Source organism: Homo sapiens, chromosome X (assembly GCF_000001405.40).
Source record: "Homo sapiens chromosome X, GRCh38.p14 Primary Assembly".
In the NCBI taxonomy this organism is placed as follows: domain Eukaryota; kingdom Metazoa; phylum Chordata; class Mammalia; order Primates; family Hominidae; genus Homo; species Homo sapiens.
This window is the reverse complement of record NC_000023.11, coordinates 23,343,521-23,360,242: the sequence shown is the minus strand read 5'-3', so window position 1 is coordinate 23,360,242 and position 16,722 is coordinate 23,343,521. Positions and strand designations below refer to the sequence as shown.

The following is a 16,722-nucleotide window of genomic DNA, read 5'->3' as shown; positions in this document are numbered from 1 at the left end:
GGTATATAGAAGAGCTGGTACCATTCCTTCTGAAACTATTCCAGTCAATGAAAAAGAGGGAATCCTCCCTAACTCATTTTATGAGGCCAGCATCATCCTGATACCAAATCCTGGCAGAGACACAACAAAAAAAGAGAATTTAGGTAAATATCCCTGATGAACATCGATGCAAAAATCCTCAATAAAATACTAGTAAACTGAATCTAGCAGCACATCAAAAAGGTTATCCACCACAATCAAGTTGGCTTCATCCCTGAGATGCAAGGCTGGTTCAACATATGCAAATCAATAAACGTAATCCATCACATAAACAGAACCATCGACAAAAATCACATGATTATCTCAATAGATGCAGAAAAGGCCTTCAACAAAAGTCAACAGCCCTTCTTGCTAAAAACTCTCAATAAAGTAGGTATTGATGGAAAGTACCTCAAAATAATAAGAGCTATTTATGATAAACCCACAGCCAATATCATACTGAATGGGCAAAAACTAGAAGTATTCCCTTTGAAAACTGGCACAAGACAGGGATGCCCTCTCTCACCACTCCTATTCAACATAGTGTTGGAAGTTCTGGCCAGGGCAATCAGGCAAGAGAAAGAAATAAAGGGTATTCAATTAGGAAAAGAGAAAGTCAAATTGTCCCTGCTTGCAGATGACATGGTTGTATATTTATAAAATCCCATCGTCTCAGCCCAAAATCTCCTTAAGCTGATAAGCAACTTCAGCAAAGTCTCAGGATACAAAATCAATGTACAAAAATCACAAGCATTCCCATACACTAATAACAGACAAAGAGAGAGCCAAATCATGAGTGAACTCCCATTCACAATCGCTACAAAGAGAATAAAACACCTAGGAATCCAACTTACAAGGGATGTGAAGGACCTCCTCAAGGAGAACTACAAACCACTGCTCAATGAAATAAAAGAGGACACAAACAAATGGAAGAACATTTCATCCTCATGGATAGGAAGAATCAATATTGTGAAAATGGCCATACTGCCCAAGGTAATTTATAGATTCAATGCCATCCCCATCAAGCTACCAATGACTTTCTTCACAGAATTGGAAAAAACTACTTTAAAGTTCATATGGAACCAAAAAGGAGCCTGCATTGCCAAGTCAATCCTAAGCCAAAAGAACAAAGCTGGAGGCATCACGCTAACTGACTTCAAACTATATTACAAGGCTACAGTAGCCAAAACAGCATGGTACTGGTACCAAAACAGAGATATGGACCAATGGAACAGAACAGATGCCTCAGAAATAACACCACGCATCTACAACCATCTGATCTTTGACAAGCCGGACAAGAACAAGAAATGTGGGAAGGATTCCCTATTTTATAAATGGTGCGGGGAAAACTGGCTAGTCATATGTAGAAAGCTGAAACTGGATCCCTTCCTTACACCTTATACAAAAATTAATTCAAGTTGGATTAAAGACTTAAATGTTAGACCTAAAACCATAAAAACCCTTGAAGAAAACTTAGGTAATACCATGCAGGACATAGGCATGGGCAAGGACTTCATGACTTAAACACCAAAAGCAATGGCAACAAAAGCCAACATAGACAAATGGGGTCTAATTAAACTAAAGAGCTTCTGCACAGCAAAAGAAACTACCATCAGAATGAACAGGCAACCTATAGAATGGGAGAAAATTTTTGCAATTTACCCATCTGACAAAGGGCTAATATCCAGAATCTACAATGAACTCAAACAAATTTACAAGAAAAAAACAAACAACCCCATCAAAAAGTGGGCAAAGTATTTGAACAGACACCTCTCAAAAGAAGCCAACAGACACATGGAAAAATGCTCATCATCACTGGTCATCAGACAAATGCAAATCAAAACCACAATGAGATACCATCTCACACCAGTTAGAATGGCAATCATTAAAAAGTCAGAAAACAACAGGTGCTGGAGAGGATGTGGAGAAATAGGAACACTTTTACACTGTTGGTGGGAGTGTAAACTAGTTCAATCATTGTGGAAGTCAGTGTGGTGATTCCTCAGGGATCTAGAGGTAGAAATACCTTTTGATCCAGCGATCTCATTCCTGGGTATATACCCAAAGGATTATAAATCATGCTACTATAAAGACACATGCACCCGTATGTTTATTGCGGCACTATTCACAACAGCAAAGACTTGGAACCAACCCAAATGTCCATCAATGATAGACTGGATTAAGAAAATGTGGCACATATACACCATGGAATACTATGGAGCCACAAAAAAGATGAGTTCATGTCCTTTGTAGGGACATGGATGAAGCTGGAAACCATTACTCTCAGCAAACTATCACAAGGAGAGAAAACCAAACAGTGCATGTTCTCACTCATAGGTGGGAATTAAATAATGAGAACACTTGGACACAGGGTGGGAACATCACACACCAGGGCCTGTCGTGGGGTGGGAGGCTAGGGGAGGGATGGCACTGGGAGAAATACCTAATGTAAATGACGGGTTGATGGGTGTTGTGAAGTCAGCATGTCACGTGTATACCTATGTAACTAGCCTGCACGTTGTGCATATGTACCCTAGAACTTACAGTATAACAATAATAATAATAAAAAAGCTGTGGTTTGTGTTGGTAAATACCCCACCATGGCCATTTTTCTTCTACCAATGGAGTGGGAGTTTGGAAAAGATGTGGCCAGTCAGATTTCAGGAGTCAGTAGGAGCCAGCCCCAGCACATCACTGGGTATATAGACTCATGGGTGGAATTTTGGGATCACAGAGTAGGCATATATTTAGTTTGTTTCCCAAAGTGATCATAACATTTTACAGTCTCACCAGCAATGTATAAGAGTTCCAGTTACCCCATATCCTCAGCAACACTCAGTACTGCCGGTCTTTTTAATTTTTTACCATTCTGATGGGTGTGTACTGGTATCTCATTTTGATTTTAATTCACATTTCCATGATGTCTGAAACTAGGCACCTTTCCACATGCTCATTAGCCCTGTGGCTATCTTCTTTTCCAAAGTATCTGATCAAGCCTTTTGCCCCTTGGATATTAGGCTGTTTTGTCTTTTCCTTACTGTTCTGTGGGAGAATATCTAACTTCAAGACCAGTAAGCTAAACTGTAAACACTGCAAGAAAGAAGAGCCCCAGAGGCAGCCTGGTATGGTAGAAAGAGTCTGACACTTCAGTCATACAGACTTGTATTCATATCAAACTAAGTTAGTCACTTCCTGATGACCTTGAGGAAGTCACCCTTCTGGAGCATTAGCTTCCCCAGCATCAAAATGGGATTACTATCTTGTAGTGTTGTTGGCTCCCGAATGAGACAACATAGATGAAATGCCTGGCAGAAAAGCCTATCACAGGTGTTCAGCACTCTTCAGCTCCTGTGTGCATTGAGAATCATTTCCCCATCTCAATCAGAAAATGTAGCTGGCACCTTCACCCAAAAGTTGCTATTTGTGAAGTGCGTGATGGTTTTAATTTAATGCCTGGAAATCCCATATTTGTCCTTGCTGTCTAGTGGCGTTGTCATAGAGCAACTGCCTCTCTCATGCTGTGAGGGTGGTATTCTTTTTGAGAAGCAGCCCTTCTCTTTTTGTTGGAGGTACAATGGCAAGGTTTACTGGATGTGATATTCTGCAGTGACTTATTTGATTTGAGGCTGGAAGGGATTTACCGGGCACTCTTTAGAGCCCTGTCCTCTATTCTGGGGAAAAAGCTGGTGCGAATCAGCACTAATAAGAAACTGGGGCTGTTTCTGAAAGGGCTGCAGAGTGAGCAGCCAAGTTGTAGTCCCCTGCCCTCCCTTGCAGGAGTTTGGACTTGTGAGAAGTGATGGGCTTAGCTTAGGCGTAACCTCCTCCAGGAAGCCTGCTCTAGACACGCATTTTAGATCCTCCCTGGTCCCCAGGGTGTTTACACATCTGTTTTATCACTTGAAATATTATAATGGCATCTTCTTTCAGCTCTTTGAAGAAAGGAACTCAATCTTGTTATTTGTTATATCCCCGCTCCCAGCACAGTGCATGTGGAGAGTAGGCACGCAATACTCAAGATAGAAACATTCTGGACAAGCCAACATACTCTTGTACAATCTCCTTGGCATCACCAGCGTGCATTAAACAGCTTCCCCTTGCATGTCCTGAAACCTTGTTAAATACTGAGAAGTGATTAAGCAAAAGTACTAGCTAATTCTGACTCGAGAAAAAAAGCAAAACAAGCAAACAAAAAAGCAAACAAACAAGAGGAAACAGAACATGTGGGAAAGGATCATTGTTAAAATAAGTATATATACTTTTATGTTTGTAAAAGTAAAGATACTGTGGCAGTTTAAAAACAAAACCAAACCAGAAAGTATAGCAACGCTTTTCCAGCCCAGCTCTCAAGGGAATACACAGGCAGATATTAATATATGCATTTGTAAAATGGCTAGCACATTGGAATGAGAATATTTAAATATTTAAAAATTCTCAGTCTATCATTTCTTCTCTCCTTTTCCAGGCTGAAGTAGCTTTACCAGACTCAATTTAAACCGGCCTACAGATCTCAAACTACGTTTGGGTTCACTTAAGCAATGGATGAACTTAGGTGTTATTCTTTTACCTTGTAAATAACATAGCTCATAGAAAGCTGAGACATAATGTAATAGAAGAACCTGGAACATAGCAGTAGCCCTGACATGCCACCTTAATGTTTTCTATCTCACACTAACCACTTAAAATAATTGTTAAAATCTGTGATGTGCTTATATTATGAGGTGCTTATGCATTATTATAATGGCTATGAGAGCTTTGTAACTTTTTTCAGTTGAAAAGGAGCAAAAATGTCCTAAAAGGGAAAAGTGAAATGCCAAAGAGCAGACCATTTTGAGGTGGAAACATTTTCATGGTGCTTTGCACACAATTTTATAAAGAGAGACCCCAATAGGCGGCAAGCAACTCTCAGTAGGGAAACCTCTGATTGTTTTTATCAGGCAGAGACTGGTGGCTTTGGCAGATCACCCTGTAAAAGACAGTCTGTCAGTCATTGGCTGCTTTCAACGTGTGAATCTGAGGGTAGGGTGCGCACTCACAGGACACCTTCCGTGGAATCTCGGGGTCTATTAGCACTGAGTGCTGAGGAAGCTTTGCTGTGCCTGCTGCCCTGCTGCCCCAGTAGGCGGGGAGTAGGAGCAACCACACTCCATACCTGTCGCAGCAATTGGCTGGCTTCTCCCTCCCCCCTCCCCCCAAAAAAGCCTTACATGAATAAAAGCAAACCTACACAAAATGAACGATTTCTCTGGAGAAAGATGGGAACAATGTCTGGGTGGACTTTAGGAGACAACTTGGGAGGGGCTTTCCGAAATACACAGAATGGCTAGCAGCAGTTAAAAAAAAATAAGAATTTTGGCCGGGTGTGGTGGCTCACCCCTATAATCCCAGCACTTTGGGAGGCCGAGGCGGGGTGATCACGAGGTCAAGAGATCGAGACCATCCTGGCCAAGATGGTGAAACCCCATCTCTACTAAAAATACAAAAATCAGCTGGGCGTGGTGGCAGGCGCCTGTAGTCGCAGCTACTCGGGAGGCTGAGGCAGGAGAATAGTTTGAACCTGGGAGGCGGAGGTTGCAGTGAGCTGAGATGGCGCCACTGCACTCCAGCCTGGGAGACAGAGCGAGACTCCGTCTCAAAAAAAAAAAAAAAAAGAATTTCACCTTGTTCCCAAGCCATTCTAGCCTAGCTTCTGGAGGATTTCTTTATATATATATATATATATATATATTTGTGTACTTCAAATTTTGGGATTGACAAGAAAGTTGTGTGTTTCTCTCTCTCTCTCTCTCTCTCTGTGTAAAATAAGCTGAGGTTATGTTTAGATGGCACAAACAACTGAACTTTTTTTTTTTTAATCTGTTTGTCTAGACAGGCCATGGGAAGATAGATAAGGTGCAAGGATTATGGCTTTACACACGTTAACTCAAAGTTTTGTGATTTTTCTCAACATAAAACAAATGGAAAAGGAAGGGCTACCGCTCTAATTTTTCCAGGCTGTATCTTTGCTACCTCCTCCTCATCCATGCTGGTTCCTGGAATACTTGATTAAAAACCTATGAGGCTTGCTCTGTACTTCCCGCTTCCTCGGCCTGAATCTCTGATCTAGCCCCTGTAAGCCCTGACCATTTGAACCACCTGAGGAACTTTACAAACTCAGATACCTGGGCCCACCCTCATACCATTAAATCAGAATCTCTTGGTGAGGGTTTAGATATCTGTATTTTAAAAAGCGTCCCAGAAGACTATAACACACAGTCAAGATTGAGAACCCTTCCATCATTCATAAAATCTTGTTGATTTTGCCTCCCAAATCTCTCAAATCCATCCTCTGCTACTCCATTTCCATTGCTCCTGATTTGGTTTCTAGCCCTTATAATCTATGTGGATGGCAGAAACAGCTTCCTAACTTAGCTTTTTTTGCTTTCCATCTACCCTTCATATGCCACCAGACTTATTTTTCTAAAACACAAATCCAAATCTGTCTTTCCTCTGCTTTAAATCCTTGAATGGCTCCGCTACGAATAAATGATGGAGCCCGTGTTCATCTCAGATGATGATGGAAAGCAGCTGCTCTTCATCTTAGGTAGGATCTCTTAGCTTACGTTTTTTTTTTTTGTTTTGTTTTGTTTTGTTTTGAGACAGAGTTTTGCTGTTGTTGCCCAGGCTGGAGTGCAGTGGCGCGATCTCCGCTCACCGCAACCTCCGCCTCCTGAGTTCAAGCGATTCTCCTGCCTCAGCCTCCCGCGTAGCTGGGATTATAGGCATGCACCACCACACCCGGCTAATTTTGCATTTTCTTTAGTAGAGACGGGGTTTCTCCATGTTGGTCAGGCTGGTCTCGAACTCCCAACCTCAGGTGATACGCCTGTCTCGGCCGCCCAAAGCGCTGGGATTACAGGCATGAGCCACTGTGCCCGGCCTAGCTTAAATTTTTTCAAAAAAACCTTTAAGACTCATGAGAAGTCGCAAATTAGTTTAGAGTTCCCATGTATCCCTTACTCAGCTTCCCCTAATATGTTTCATTACCATAGTAAATTAGCAAAACCACAAAACTGACTTTGGTCAGTGTGACAGGCCTTATTTGGATTTCACCAGTTTTTACATGCATTCTTTTTTGTGTGTATATAGAATACAATGAGATTTTATCACATGCGCTTAATACAGTTGTAAAATGATCTCTTTTTCTATCTAGCAGCAGTTCCTAACTCTAACCGTGCATTAGAGTTTCCTAGGGGAGCTTCAAATAAGTACCTAAGTTTGGGCCCCACTTTAGACCATGCTTTAGTCTAGCGCTTCCCAGACTTTTAAGATGTGTAGAAATCAGCTAAGGATCTTGTTAAAATGCAGATTCTGATTTACTAGGTCTGGGTGAAGCCTGAGAGTCTGCAGTTCTAATAGGGTCCCAGGCGATTGCCAGTGCTACTGACGCTGCCAATCTGTGGACTGTATTTGGAGTAGGCCACTGTTTTTAGACCATTGAAATGAGAATCCATGGGTTTAAGGCTTGGGTACAGTATATTTGAGTTACTACGGTGATTCTAATATGTAGCCAGGGTTGAGAACCACTGAGATATGTGATGAAATTTAAAGGCTATGTGATCCTCGGAGGTCACACCATCCCAACCTCTATTTAAGCCATTCTAGGTCATTCCAGTCCCCTCTGATGAGCTATTCAAATGCCAAATAATTCTCGGAGTTAATAATTCTTTCTTACTTTATAATCCATATTCTTCTTCTGAAATTTAAATATACCCTATGTGAACTCTCTCAACAAACTTCCACTTAAATTTCTTCTCTATACTTTTGCTCATCTTGAGATAAAAGGGAAGGAGAGACTGTCCCTTTGCTTTCATACTCAAATTCTGTAAAAGAGATTGCTTCCACATTAGGACCTAGCCTCTTCTCATTCCCTTGTCAGTTGGTCACCAAGCTCACAGATATTAGAATGTTCTTTCTTTAGCACTTGACAAGACTCATTTTCAGCTGCTGACCTTGTTTTCTATCTTCCAGAGCAAACCCCAGCCAGATGGGAATTACCAACTTGCTGCCACCATATAAATACCTAAACCTACTCCCCTTCTCGCCCTCCTGTGAAAATCAAGGCCCATGGCTCTCTCTCTTTTTAAGGTCAATTGCTTTCACTGGGTTTTATCTTTCCTTTCCTTCTTTCTAGTACAGTTCATTCCTTCTTCTCCCACGTCCTCAAACTCTACTAATTCTTTCCCATGGGTTTTAAAATATTTTCATGTCTCTTCCATATTTTAAAAAAGGCTTCATTAACCCCATGTCCTTTCCACCTTCTGCCACATCTCCCCTTCTTTAATAAACCCTTTGCATTTGATGTCTCCAACTATACCTCAAAGAGTGATTTGTGCTTGCTAACTTTATTTCCTCACCTCCCACTCACTTCTCAAACCACTACAGTCTAGATTCTATCCTAGCGCTGAACCAAAACTCAACAATGAGTTCTAAGAAGATAAATTCAATGGCTACTTTTTAAATCTTCATTTCCTTCAACTCTGAGCAGCGGCACCCAGTTAAGTCAACAATAAAAAGTCAAGGGAGTACCTAAAAATATCCTGAGATGGTTTAGCATTTTTTTTCCATTTTCAATGTTTTTAATTTTTAATAAAGATTTTAATTAAGCTTCAGTCACTAAGAAGTTTTTAAACCTAGGTTTCATGATTCTTTGACTTCATACTTTTAAATGGAGTCAGTTATCTTCAAAACATGACAAATTTCAGAATCCATTAAAAACTATTTTATTCAAATTATGTTTTCCAAAAGAGAGGGTTCTGTGCTAGTCATCTTTGAAAGTTTTCGTACCATTTCAGAAACATATTTTGCAGAATGAACATTTCATATAGGCTTGGTGTCATCTGGGCCTGAGAGACAGCAAATGATGAAGCAAAATTGTGTAAGTTGTCCAACATCTTTTGTGTGAACAGAGTGAATGAGTCAACTGAGGATAGAGCAGCATTACCTACAGGAGTCTGCTGAGCCATACTGTCCAGTGATTCCACCGAAATTCCAATCTGAGCAACAGATGGAGTTTGGACAGTATTCATGGCTCCAAAAGGATGTTGGCTTCCTCCTCCAGATTTAAGACCTGAAATTTTGAAGATGGCACTTGGTTTCCCATTCATGACAAATCATAGGAGTTGTCATACTGGCATCCCATTTGAATCAGGATAGGAAAAGTAGACAGAGCCTACTGGATTCCCATGAAAATATGGATTCCATTTTCATGGGAATCCAGTAGGCTCTGGTAAGGCCTGAGCATGGTTTCTTCACTGCTGCATCCTCTACTATATGCCTGGCAAACAAAGTTACTCAGTAAATATTTGTAGTTTGACTGAAACCCTTTCTTTCTCCCATAATGAATTACATGACTCAACTCTTTCCTCTCCTCCTATCTTTCGACCTAGCTTTTCTCAGTGTTCTTCTGACTTCTCTACCTTTGCCTATTTTGTAAATTTGATGTTACTCAAGACTGTCTTTGGCACTTCTGATCTTGTCATAACAGAATATATTCTTCACGGGCAATGAATTCCACCTCCATGGTTTGACTTGTGACCTTTACACTGACCAATCTCCAGTTCACATTCACACTTTACCTCTTCTTCAAACTCCGGATCTTAATTTCCATCTGCCTCCTGAAGATTTGCAAATAAATGGTTTGGGAGTATTGCAACTGGCATATATACAACAGCTGAATCCTTTTCTCCAAATTTGTTCTTCCACCTGTTTCCTGTAATGGTTAACACAGCATCATCCTCTTTCTACTCACCCAGCTGGGAAACTTCTAAGCCAACGTCACCCTTTTCCCTTTGATGACTCCCAGATCCAATTATCTTGAAGTCTTATTAATTCTATCTCCCAATCTTTGGGCTGGCATTTTCAGTGTATGTTCTGAGGCACATTAGATTCTTGGGATGTTGATAGGGGCCACCAAAAAAGTAAAAAATATTCATCTCAAATAGATTTGAGAAATGCCAAACTGGACAGAGTTAAATAGGTTTCTTTACAGAGGAACTTTTTAGAGCTTTTACTATGATAACGTGCATGCAGTATGAGGATCTGAGATGGTGGTACCACATCTATTGTTTGCCAAAGTTATTTGGCCACACAGGTCTTTTTTTTTTTTTTTTTTTTTTTTTTTTTAACAGCACTAAAGGGAGCTTTCCTAGAACACATTTTGGAAAATGGTGGTCTGATCTATGTCCTTTCTTCTCTTTCTGCAGCTATTGTATTCCAAGCCTTCTGCCTGCAGACTTTAACAGCTCCTTGGGTGCACAGAAGGCATCTCCCTATCTCCAGTGTTTTGCTTCTCCTATTTAACCCCTACACTTCTGTAAGAGGTACCCTTATTAGAGTCGGATTATGTATTTTCCCAGAGTAGTAGACATGCTGTCCCTTACTCTGTCCTGATTATCTATATCCTTAATTATTTTCTGCCTGTTTTTGTTTAATCCATTACTGACAGAGGAATGTTGAAGTCTCCAACTATAATAGTGGATTTGTCTATTTCTCCTTTCAGTTCTATCAGTTCTTGCCTTATGTATTTTGATGCTCTGTTGTTAAGTACATACATATTTAGGATTGTTGTATCTTCTTGGAGAATTGATCCCTTTATAATTAGGTAATACACCTCTTTATTCCTGATAATTGTTCCTGTTTTGATGTTAGCTTCGTCTGAAATGAACATAGCTACTCTAGCTTTCTCTTGGTTAGCAGAATTAGCAGGGCATATCTTTCCCCATCCCTTTACTTTTAACTGTATGACTCTTTATATTTAAAGTGGGTTTCTTATAGACAATATAGAGTTAGGTCTTTTTTGTTTCCATAATCCACTTTGACAGTCATCATCTTTTACTTTGTATATTTATACCATTCACACTTAAAGTGATTATTGATATAATTAGATTAATATCTACCATGGTGGTAACTGTTCTGTTTTTTGTTTTTGTTGTTGTTGTTGTTTTTGCATTTGTTCCTGTTTTTTTTACCTCCTCTTTTTCTGCCTTCTCTGGTTTTAATTGAGCATTTTATCTCCTCTGTTAGTGTATCAATTTTACTTCTTTAAAAAAATTTTTAGTGGTTTCCCTAGCACTTACAATACACATTTATACCTAATTTAAGTTCACCTTTAAACAATACTGCTTTATATGTGGTGCAGTTATAACAGGGTATTCACAATTCCTCCCTCACATGCCTTGTGACATGGCTGCCATTCATTTCACTTATCCATGTTATAATCATCCAATATATTGTTACTATTATTGATTTAAATGAAGTTATGTCTCAGATCAATTAAGAGTAAGAAAAATAAAAATATTTTAGTTCAGCTTCATTTATTCCTTCTCTAATACTCTTCTTTATATAGATCTGAGTTTCTGACCTATATAATTTTCCTTTTTCTTAAACAACTTCTTATAACACTTTTTGCGGGACAACACTGCTGGCGATGAACTCATTCAGTTTCTGTCTGAGAAAGTCTTTATATCTCCTTCACTTTGAAGCATAATTTTGCTGGCTATTGCATTTTAGGTTGATTTTTTTTTCATTTTAACCCTTTAACTATTTATCTTCATTCTCTTCTTGCAGTTTTTTCTCTGACAACTCTAATGTAATTCTTTTCCTTGTTCCTCTATATATAAGGTGTCCCCCCGACCCTGGCTTCTTTCAAGATTTCCTCTTTGTCTTTGGTTTTCTGTAGTTTGATTATGATACACCTAAGTGTGGTTTTATGAGTACTTATCTGTCTTGGTGTTCTTTGAGCTACCTGGATCTGTGGTTTGGTGTCTTTAATTTTAGAAAGTTTTTGGCCATTGTTACTTCAAACGTCTTCTGCTTCATTCTTCTCCTTCTGGTATTCCAATTATGTGTATGTCATATATTTTGATAACCCTGTCTCACAATTTTTAGATGTTCCGTTTGGGTTTTTTTTTTTTTCTCTTTTAACTCTTTGTGTTTCAGTTTGTGATGTTTATATTGCCCTATATTCAAGCTCACTGATTCTTTCCTTGGCAGTTAAGTCTACTGATGAGTTCATCAAAGCCTTTCTTCATTTCTGTTCCAGTGTTTATCTCTAGCATTTCCTTTTGATTCATCCTAAGTTTCCACTTCTCTGCTTACATTACCCATGTGGTCTTGATGTCTACTTTTTCCACTAAAGCCCTTAACATATTAATCATTGTTACTTTATTTTTTTTGAGACAGGATCTCACTCTGTTACCCAGGCTGGAATGTAGTGGTGTGATCAAAGCTCACTGCAGCCTCAAACTCCTGGGGTCAAATGACCCTCCTGTCTCAGCTTCCCAAGAATCTAGGACTACAGGCATGTACCACCATGCCCTGTTAATATTTTTTAAATTTTTTTGTAGAGACGGGGTCTTGCTATGTTGCCCAGGGTGGTTATGAACTCCTGGCCTCAAGCTATCCTTCCACCTCGGCTTCCCAGAGTGCCAGGATTATAGGCATGAGCCACCTCGCCTGGCCTTCATAGTTACTTTCAATTCCCTGTCTGGTATTGAATTTAAATTCCCATATCCGAGTCTGATTTTGATGTTTCCTTTGTCTCTTCAGACTATATATATTTTATTTTGGCTTGCCTTGTAATTTTTTCTTCAAGGCTAGACATGTTATATCAGTTAATAGGAACTAAGATAACAGGACTTTACAGGGAAGATTTATGTTAATCTAGGGGTCAGAATGTATTTAATGTTTGTTGTAGCTATAGGTACCAGAAGCTTTAATTTCCTCTACTGTCCTTGTTTTTGTCTCTCTTGTTGACGTTGGATTTTCCCACATACTTCTCCTCAGAGAGGGTCTGTGTCTTTTTGCTCTTTCAGCTGTAATCCACTATTATTAAACTGGAGCTCTGCTGATGTGGTAGTAAAGTGTGGTAAGGGGAAATTGCTATATAATCTTCCAATGAAATCTCAGTCTTTTAGTAGACCTGTGACCTTCACAAGTATTTCTCTAGTGGTATAGTTTTTTCCTGTCTTCTATTCCCTTCCCTGGCTGTAGTGCTTCAAATTGATTTCTTTGAATCCCTGACCCCTGTTGACTCTCCCCCCACCAACTCTTAGGTAAGGCAGAAAGGCTGAAGGGGGCTGAAATGGGAAAGAACCTAGGATAAAGTTTCAGAATCGTGCTCTGGCAAGTCCATTCTCCTGGAGAGTAAGCATTTGTTAATAGAGAACACTGGGTGGATTTCACAATGATAATATTGTTGATCCCATTTTATAGATGAAGAAATTGAGACCTCCCAGAGAGGTTAAGTGACTGACTTGATCAAGGACACATTAATAGTTCACAGCCTCAAACACAAAACTTTGGGTTCTAAAGCAATGCTTTTTCCACTCTGCCTAAACTGGTACCCACTGAATTTTGGTTGCAACTGTCACCTCTCTCTGACAGCACTTGACATCAAACAGTAATTGACACTGAACATTAGTTGCCAGGGTCCTCCCTGTGGACACCTCACCTCTGACAACTGACGACTCTCCTTTACCAAACTCTAGTCAGGCTCCTCTGAACCTTCTCACCAACTAACCCTTGGCATTCAGATTTCCTTTTCTGTCTTTACATCATCCAATTTTAGGAAGACTTCTTCTAAATCCATTTAACCATAATCCCCCACCCTTTGTATCTGATCATTCTAGATATCTGACTAAATTATTCATCTCTGACCATCTCTCAGATGATATCTGATCATCCTGGCCAGCTTTCAGCAAGAATCCTGTCGGATTGGTTTAGCTAGAATCTGCCCCTTCCCCCTGATGTTTCCTCTTAATAATGTTGTATCCACTGACCCCATCCTGCTCCTTGGCTATAAATTCCCACTCTTCCCTGTCATATTCCGAGTGGGTCGGATCTCTCCCCTACTGCAAAACCCCACTGCAGTAGTCCCTATACCATCTCAGTGGCTCCTGCTGAATAAACTCTGCCTTACCATTCTTTAACAAGGGTTTTGAGTAACTTGTTCTTTAACAGAACCACAGTACTGGGACCCTGTCTCAGAAATGCAGCATGTAGCTCCTATTTGTGCCTGCTGTACCATCTGATTTGCTTTAAAGGAAGTTCTGGAAAAGGCAAATGGCAGATGACCCTGTATGGGAAGGCTTTGGAAGAACGAAAGCTTTGGCAATCCCATATGTGATGGTAGCAACGACATCCATGGTGTGTGTGTATTGTGGGGGAGGTGTATCTCTCTTCCTCCATCTCAGGGTGTCCTTTCTTCTACTCAGCCCTTTTCTCCTGAATTCCAACACCAGGAGACAGGCAGTAGAGTACGGCCCTCTGTTCAACATGCTTGCCTTACAGTGCAAACTTCAGATATTCAGATTTATTTAATACCCTTTGTAGAAGAGCTATTATAGCATCATTCAGAATTAAGTGCTGAGCAAACAACTTTTTCATCCTGCTTGTATCTTATTGGCCAGATTCCACAGAGAGAGACTGCATTTTTGGAAGTAGTCCTGGTAGCTAATTTCTAGGATACTTTATAGCAGTGGCTCTGAAAGTGTGGTCCCTAGACCAGCAAGAACAGCATCACCTTGCGAACCTGTCAGAAATGCAAATTCTCAGGCTCCACCCCAGACCTACTGACTCAGAAACTCTCTGGGGTGGAGACCACAATCTGTTTCGAACAAGTTCTCCAATGCCTATCTGCTCAAGTTGGAGAGCCACTACTTTAGCTTACAGAGGCAATTAAATAGAACTGAGTAGTCAGGATATACAAAGGTTCAGCAAGGTTCCTTAGATCCACTAATCTACTGCTCTACTCAAAATGTGGTCTGCAGACCAGTAGCATCAATATCCCTGGGGGCTTGCTGGAAGTGCAGAATGTCAGGGCTACTGCCTCAGACCTACTGAATCAGAATCTGCATGCTGAAATTCCCAGGGAATTCAGAAGTACAAAGTTTGAGAAGTACTGCTAACCCTCACTTACACAGAGGTTAATTTTGTTTGAAGAGATTAGGGATAGAGAACCAGCTAGGCAGAGGAATCTTCTTTGGTGGATTTGATGTGGAGCCTGAATAATTGTGGATTTCTTTTGGGATCCTATAAAAAGCAATTTTCTAAAGGGGTAGGTGGGGAAGCACACTGAACTAAATGATCAAAATTCACAGTCTGCAAAATTTCGCAACATTCCAGTTTCAAAGGACTTTACAATTATCACTTTGCCTGGTGCTCCTGATCTCTGGCAATTCTGATGACACTCTTCCCTGTGAAGTGCTTGCAGATCTACTTATGTGGACGAGATTTCCCAGGGAAACACTGTAGTCATGTAAATTCAGTAAGAGAGGAGAATGATCAACGTTCTCACCTAAATCACTGGAGAATCCCTCTTTGGCATGCTGTGCTGTGAGATGTGGTGAGGAGAGCCCTGAAACCAGAGCCCGCAGCCTCTCAGAACCTTTAATTCAAAAGGCACTTCCCTGGGCAGGAAGTGAAGGCTTTTTTTGTGTGCAAAGCCCCATCAGGCATGAAGAGTAGGTTCTGAGCCCAGAGGAACCACGTTGGTGTGCTGGAATGCAATGCACCCATCCCCATCCGCAGCTCTGCCTGCCTAAGAACTTTCTGCAGGTAGAGGAGCTGCATGCTCAGCAGTAGGTTGAATCCAATTGTCTGTAATGACTCAGATGGAGTCATTAAAGACCAACAAATTGGCAATATGAGTATTGAATGTAGCTTGAGCACCCATTATTGCCTGTTGGATCAAAGAAAAAAGTGGCTACATGTGTATTACTCAACAGGCAATAATGGCTTTGAAAGAGCTGGCACATGTGAGGAAATAGCAGTCATTTTCAAAGTAAATAGTAATAATGATAACACACTTTACAGAAGGCTATGGTTACACAGTGCCTTCACATACTTTATCTCATTCTATCTTTACCTTAAGTGGGTGAAAGAGATGCTATTACACCCAGTGCAAATAAGGAGCGTGTTTCTCAGGGAGGTTAGGTGACTTGCCCAAAGATACATACTTAGGAGAACTGGAACTTGAACTTGGCTTTCCTGATTCTAAATCCAGTTTTCTGTTTACAACAGTTAAATTTGAGCCTTGCTACTCCAAGTGTGTTCTGCTGATCTGTAGCATCAGCATCACCTCAGATCTTGTTAGAAATGCAGACTTGCAGTTCCCACCCCAGACCCTTTGAATCAGTCTGTATTTTAGCAAGATGCCTAGGTGACGTGTGTGCATGTTAGAAAGTCTGAGAGCAATCAAACAATCTTTACTCAGTAGGACTACTTGCCTATACCACAAGACCAAAAACAAAATCCAACAACTCAAACCTCATACAATTAAGGTATAAATATCACAAAATGTTCTTGAGCATTTATAATGACAGCTCTATAGCAGAGATGCATTATTTTTTCTTGAGACAATTAGAAAGAATTGACAAAGCCATGGTATTAGTGACAGCAGGAGAGCCTCATGGAGGAATGGGTAAAGGAATCTTTATCTTCCACGCTGAAAAATTAGCAGTTTTAGTGTTTCCATTAAACTCACAGAAATATGCTGATTTTGTACCAGTATCATTTTCTTTTAAGTTTGCCTCTTAGAACAATACTTTCTGTTCCTCTGGGCTAACTTTTAAGAAGAGTGGGACTAAGCAACATCAGAATGGTGATCTCCTGAACACTGGTGCTATGGTCAGGAAAACCACTTGTCCTTGATGTTTTCTTTTA

General features: G+C 40.3%; 1 protein-coding gene and 1 pseudogene across 2 annotated transcripts in view, besides 1 other annotated feature; both read right to left on the bottom strand.

Annotated features, from left to right (window-relative positions):
* Positions 1–16,722, bottom strand: part of PTCHD1 (patched domain containing 1) — a 69,979-nt gene that overhangs the window by 44,132 nt on the left and 9,125 nt on the right. The window lies entirely within an intron of this gene.
* Positions 8,589–9,248, bottom strand: HIKESHIP1 (HIKESHI pseudogene 1; annotated as a pseudogene).
* Positions 15,030–15,529: an enhancer, noted in NCBI's record as "NANOG-H3K27ac hESC enhancer chrX:23362831-23363330 (GRCh37/hg19 assembly coordinates)". NCBI's record gives its function as "activates a minimal SCP1, AML or CMV promoter by ChIP-STARR-seq in primed H9 embryonic stem cells {active_cell/tissue: H9 hESC(primed)}" and the evidence as "EXISTENCE:reporter gene assay evidence [ECO:0000049][PMID:30033119]".